Below are 6,870 nucleotides of genomic sequence, written 5' to 3' on the forward strand. Positions count from 1 at the left end.
GTAAGCTGGGGACAAATCATGAATCATTTTGAGCCCACGCAAAGAAATTTTGGATTTATACTATATAGGCATAAGGGTTATTACGGAAGGCAATAACAAGAATGGCTCATTATTTGTGCTATTGTTTGAAGTTTAGTATATTATTCCTATATTTAAGTGCGAAATCTTAAGTGTACAACTGGATGAATTTTTGCATATATCTTTACCCCTCTAACCAGCACATAAGTCAAGATACCAAACATTTCTGGCCCTTGAGAAGGCTCCGTCCGTCAATAGATAATTTTTTACATCGTGGGTTAGCTCCATTCTGACCCCTAACTTAATGTTAGTTTTGTCTGTTCTTATATCTGTATTTTCAGAAACATGCAAAATGTTTCTTATAGTGTTTTTCCATGTGTATTTGTTAGATGAATGAATGAATGAGAGAAAAGGGTGAGGCAAAGAGCACAAGATTTCTATTCAGGAAGCTAATTTCATTAATGCATTTTTTTTCATTTGTTTAACTGATTATGAATTTGTCTAATTGAACTTCATCCAGGCCATAAGTTTTTGTCTTTTACATGAGGATATCATTAAGATACTTATTAAAATGATATACTAAAATTGAGGTAAAGTATAACTATGAAATTTCTCTAAATTGCCACTTTAAGAATTTTGTCAATAAAGTATATAATTTTATTTTCATAATTTGCTCATAACAAATCATTTGAGGTCTTTAATTTATCCCTTCAATTACTCATAAATTGTCTATATAATAATGAATGGTGGAAGTTTTTCTGGATTTTGTTATTTATATAATAATCTCATCTAGCATAGTGTCTAGAACATATTAAAAATAAGTATGAAATATGTTTGATGAAGTAAACTGAATTGTTGCAACTTAGTCTTTTTTCTTTTATATTTGTATTTTTAATTGACAAAAATTATATATATTTATGGTGTACAGCATGATGTTTTGAAATGTATATACATTGAGCAATGGCTAAATTGAGCTAATTAACATATGCATTACCTCATATATTTATCTTTTTATGGTGCTGAGAACACAATCTACTCTCAACAATTTTCAAGAATACAATTTATTCATATTGACTATAGTCATGTTGTACAATAGATTTCTTATTCCTCCTCACTAAAGTTTTGTGTCCTTTGACCAGTATCTCCCTGACCTACCCTCTGAGTCCCCCACTTACAACCTGTGCCCCTGTTAATCACTATTCTAGTCTCTACTGTTTTTCTTCCCCCACTTTCAACTTTTATTTTACGTTCAGGGGAACATGTGCAGGTTTGTTACATGGGTAAATTGTGTGCTTGGTGTACAAATGATTTTATCACTCAGGTAGTAAGGACAGTACTCTCGCCTTCTGCCATGAGTGGAAGCAGCCTGTGGCCCTTGCCAGGTGTAGATGCCCTATCTTAACCTTTTGCAAGTAATTCCAAAGGCCTGAATTGGGCTAGGATGAAAATGAGACAATGCACAGCAGTAATATTAAGAAGCAAATATCAGCAGAAATTGATGGTGTTTTGGGTGCAAGGAGTAAAGTGAGTGAGATAAATAAAAAGATAATAATAAGACATATCAAATGCCATGATACAGATAAGCTCAGAACATTATGTAAGTTCAGGGTAAGGCATCTAATCTATTTCAAGGACATTGGGTATGGCCGAGGAGAAGGAGGCATCAGATTTACTCACTTGAAGGTTGTTAAGCAGTGGGCCAGCTGCAGAATTTTAGTGGATTTTAGAGACAATGAGAGAAAGCTGCTTTTTTAGATCCTGGTTATAGAAGGAGAGCAATTGCTATGAGGCAATGGCTAAAAAATCATGACAAGCCATGGAAGGAATTTTGAATGTAATGGTAGTGACTAGAGACTATGTGCATCCTAAAGTGGAAGGGCCATGAGAAAGTGAGAATAATGCACAGAAATGATGGGGTCATCTGTGGATCACCATTCTGGAGAAGATAGATTTCAGGGTGCAGGGCATGAAAAATCAGATTACTGCTTCCTCTGCACCAGGGTAAACAAGATATGTATGGGTGCAGCTATTGGTGAGGAAGCAGGAGTTCAGAAATGGGTTCATAATGGACTCAAACTTTTTCTGTGATATCAGAAGAGAAATAATCTTCTGTGAGGTGAGAGCATGTTGAGACAGAGAACATGAGGGTAAAGGCAAAATTTGAAATGGCCATTCAAGGAACTAGGAGTGGGAGCTTATTCAGAATATGTAATTGGATGACTAAGTTGTTTTGAAAGAACATATGAAAACGTATAATATGAAGTTTTGTTGGGATAATGTAATAATCTATATGGTTGTGTGAGTGTGTGTGTGTGTGTGTGTGTGTGTGTGTATTTAGATGTGCTTGGCATCCAGAGCAGTTATTTTGCCAGGATACATTGAAAGAAAACAAAAGTAGGCCAGATGCAGTGGCTCATTCCTGTAATCCCAGCACTTTGGGAGGCTGAGGCGGGCGGATCACGAGGTCAGGAGATGGGGACCGTCCTCCTGGCTAACACAGTGAAACCCCGTCTCTACTAAAAATACGAAAAAAATAAAAAATAAAAAATAAAATATATTAGCTGGGCGTGATGATGGGCGCCTATAGTCCCAGCTGCTACTTGGGAGGCTGAGGCCGGGGAATGGCATGAACCCGAGAGGCAGAGCTTGCAGTGAGCTGAGATTGCCCCACTGCACTCCAGCCTGCGTGACAGAGCAACACTCCATCTCAAAAAAAAAAAAGTATAATTGTGGAGGGTTATGAACCATTGAAAATGGGGAAGAGGGTGGTATCAGAATTATTTGGCAAGCAAAGAGAGATAGCAAAATTTTAATGACAAAAAATTGTCATTTTCTGGAAAATAAAAGGATATTGGGGTTTTGTTTGCTGCAGTGAAACAGTAGTTGCAGGCTGACCATGGGAGTGGTTGCAAAAGTCAAGTGAAAATCAAGCCTTTTCAGTTGGGACAATCAGCAAACTCTAAAGCCATTAGGTCTTAGAAGAGTCATCTACATTATTTGGGGGTCTCTCCAAATTATGACTCCTGTAGTTTGGATATTTGTCCCCTGAAACCTCATGTTGAAATTTGATCTGTAATGTTAGAAATGGGGACTAATGGGAGGTATTTGGGTCATGAAGGCAGCTCCCTCGTGAATAGATTAATCCCCTTCCTGGGGGAGGTCACATGAGTGAGATCTCACTCTCACTCTATTAGTTTCCAGAAGAGCTGGTTGATAAAAGGAGTCAGGCACCTTCCCTCTTGCCCTTGCTTCTCTCTCACCATGTGATCTCTGCACACGCCATCTCCCCTTCACCTTCTGCCATGAGTGGAAGCAGCCTTTGGCCCTTGCCAGGTGCAGATGCCCAATCTTGAACTTTTGCAGACATCCGGATCATGAGCCAAATACATTATTTTCTTTTATAGACTACCCACCCTCAGGTATTCCTTTATAGTAAAACAAACTAAGACAATGGCACTGAGGAAAATTAGGAGGTAGATGCCAAACCTTTAAGGTGGTATGTACGTTAAAGGAAAATTTGCTTTTGAAAGCTTTTTTTTAAAAAGACATTTTTTCAGTGTCACCATTAGCCTATTATGTTTAGCAATCAGCAGCATGGGTGCAAAAAAAAATCTACATTAAACATTTTGTTGGAATGCCGTATGTTTTCCACAAAGCAGAAACTAAAATAACCTGTTATGCAATTAGTTACAAATTTAGTTCTTGAGTCTTTTGCCCATACACATGAGTATTGTCTAAGGCATGTCTTGTAGCAGCTATGTCCTGCCACCACAGGGCTTGGCTGAATTCACAAATCTGTTGTAAACTGTAACTTTCCTGTCACTTCTCTGGCTCTTTTCTCCACTAAACTTTGTTTCCTGGCAGAAATTAAAACCTTCTGCCACTGTCATAACTACTGCTGCTATTGGAACCATCATTGTAGCCACTATGGTTTTGTGGTTGGGCAAAGTGTTGACTTCCACCATTAAAGGGTCTAGAGCTTCTGCCTCCAAAGTTTTCTCCCCTCGTGGCTTCAAAATTTAAGGATTGCTTATTGTAATTGCCAAAATCCTTGTAGTTTCAACCACGTCTCAAACTGCTCCCATCATTATCAATTCCATTATAGCCATGCCCACTGTCACTGTATCCACCACCACCATGATTGCTACCAAAACCTCCTCAACCACTGTGGCTTCCTCCATGACTCAAGTTGTCATCCCCATCGGAATTACCTCCACAACTTCAGCCAAAGCTTCCAGAACTACTTTAACCTCTTTGGCTGGATAAAGCACCAGCCATTTCTTGTTCAGACAGAACTTTTTTACTTCACAGTTGTGGCCATTCAAAGGATAGTATTTCCAAATGACAGTCTTATCCATGTAGGCATGGTCATCAGAGGTTACAGAAGCAGAGCCCCTCTTCTTGCCATTGCCTCAGACAGTTATGATTTCAATCACTTTAATGTTTACATACTGTTCAAAATAATTACTTAGGCATTATTTTTCAGTGTCTTCTTTAATGCCACCAATAAAGATCTTTTTTTACAGTTAAGCAGGCCCCTGGTGTTTGAGAATCTTCTCTTGAGACAACCCTGTTTGGTTCCACAACTCCTTCATCCACCTGTGTGTCCTTGCATTCAAGCTGCATCCACTTCCACCCACCTCCACCACAGTGGCATATGTGACAAACCCAAAGCTTCCCGAGCATTTGGATCACTTATTGCTGTACAGTCCAGTAAGCATTCTCCATTGCTCAGAATGGCTTCTCAGACTCATTGGTTGTTTTAAAGCGCAACCTTCAAACAGATGAAGAGTTTCCTCAGCTGTTTAGGCTCTTTAGGAGACTCTGACTTAGACATGATGGCAGCAGGAGAAGAGATTTAGAGATGCTTTCTCCATGGCATTCACCAGTAGAAAGCTTGAAAACTTTTAACTATCAAAAAGTAAAATGTAATGCAACACTTTTGGTATTGTAAATCCTGTATTATTTGGCTTCCTGTGCCCGAGGTTCTCTTAAGTAACAGTGGGGAAAATAGATTCCAAAAAACGATGACAAACAAAAATGAATGAACGAATAATGGTGGGTCTATGAGGGTAGTAGAAAAAAGAGAAAAGAAAGTTTTGAAGAGATACTCCAGGGTTTGTCATGCTTGAATGTCCACTGCAGTTCTGCCATTCCTGACCAATGAAATTTGGCCAAGCTAATGAATCAGATTGCTCATCGGTAAAATAGAGGTAATATTGCAACTATTGTATATGGTAGTAGTGACAATTAAATATCACCTGTTGTGTACTTAAAATAGTGTATGGCAGCAAGTGCTTAAGAAATGTTAGTATTTATTATCACTGCTTTTTATTTATCTAAATCATAATTAAGATGACAAACACTGCAAAAAGGAAAACAGATCATAATAAAGCCATATATATATATATATACACACACACACAAATATACATATCAGTATTTATAAAAATGTTCCGTTTAATCATGCAAATAATAGGGTCTTGGTAGGCAGTCTCTTTCTATTTTCCACAAATTCAAAGCATTGTTTCTGAATAGGCTCAACTCTGACTGTAGGGCCCCTTTTTGATATCTGCAAGAATCACCAGCAACAGAATCACCAGGACACAACCTAGCATTTCAGAGTTAGAATCCTTCTGCTAGAAAGTGGAAGAAAAGGAAAGATGTCATTTACAATGTTGATTTTAGGGACAGCTCGTTCATCTCAAAGAGATCAGGCTCCCTGCTCTCAGAAAATCTTGGGATTAGGCTTTTTTGTCCTCTTTCACGATTGCGTCCTTTTAATAAAATGAATGAATGTATCAGGAGAGGAAATAATAATTATAAAAATTTTTAATGTATTATTATTTAAGAATATATTTCCTAGAAATAATTACTGCAAATTTTTAAGAAAGTTGAGGCTCAGATTTAAATAGATGAAAAGAATAGTCTGTTCTTAACACTTTCAACAAAGTTATAAATATGCATATTTCTGAAGAGCTAAGATTATTTTTAATTCAACAGAAAGAAACTGATGAAATATTTGTATTCCCTGTACATGTGAGCTTGTACTGCATTTACTACCATGACATGCAGTGAGTCTAGAATTGGCCTGGATGAGTATGTCATCCCTAGGCCTGGATTCTTTTCTTGGGAATATTGAAGGGGATTCTGCTTACTGTGGGAAGAAAGTTTTCCTTTAATGATGAATTTATCTACCCGATTAAAAAAATACATATATATTTTTGGAATTTGTTGAGTGGGTTGTGTTCTTACTATTCTTGGTACACTGACTGTGTCTCCCACATTTAGCCTACCACCTTACCTCTCAAAACAATTGTTACCAGGTACCCAAATTGTCTTTCTCCCAGTCATTATCAGTGTGTAAAGATCATCTGAGAAGTGATAAAAGGGAGTCTTTAAAAACTTTAAGTTTTCCACTTTGGGAGGCCAAGGCGGGTGGAACATTTGAGGTCAGGAGTTCAAGACCAGCCTGGGCAACATGGTGAAACTCTGTCTCTACTAAAAATACAAAAATAAGCCGGGCGTGGTGGAGAGCACCCAAAATCCCAGCTACTCAGGAGGCTGAGGCAAGAGACTCGCTTGAACCTGGGAGGCAGAGATTACAGTGAGCTGAGATCGTGCCACTGCACTTCAGCCTGGGGGATAGAGTGAGATTCCATTTAAAAAAAAAAAAAAACAGAAACTTTACGTTTTCATTTAGAAAAGTTTTCCATGAATGTTGTGTGATTTTTTTTTTTTTTGGAATTATGAAAGCAGATGGCCTTATGGTGTAAGCACATAATCCTGACAACAGAATCCTCCTTCATCACTCATTCACTTAACAAATGTAATAGTACTTATTAAGCACCA

General features: G+C 37.9%; 1 pseudogene, besides 1 other annotated feature; it reads right to left on the bottom strand.

The window, feature by feature from the left end:
• Positions 206-375: an enhancer, noted in NCBI's record as "experimental_33463 CRE fragment used in MPRA reporter constructs". NCBI's record gives its function as "activates a minimal promoter by MPRAs in K562 erythroleukemia cells, with activity observed for the introgressed 13:81189638 variant allele {active_cell/tissue: K562}" and the evidence as "EXISTENCE:reporter gene assay evidence [ECO:0000049][PMID:34662402]".
• HNRNPA1P31 (heterogeneous nuclear ribonucleoprotein A1 pseudogene 31) lies at positions 3,524-4,914 on the bottom strand (annotated as a pseudogene).

The sequence above is a fragment of the Homo sapiens genome, chromosome 13, assembly GCF_000001405.40.
Source record: "Homo sapiens chromosome 13, GRCh38.p14 Primary Assembly".
Taxonomy (NCBI): Eukaryota; Metazoa; Chordata; class Mammalia; order Primates; family Hominidae; genus Homo; species Homo sapiens.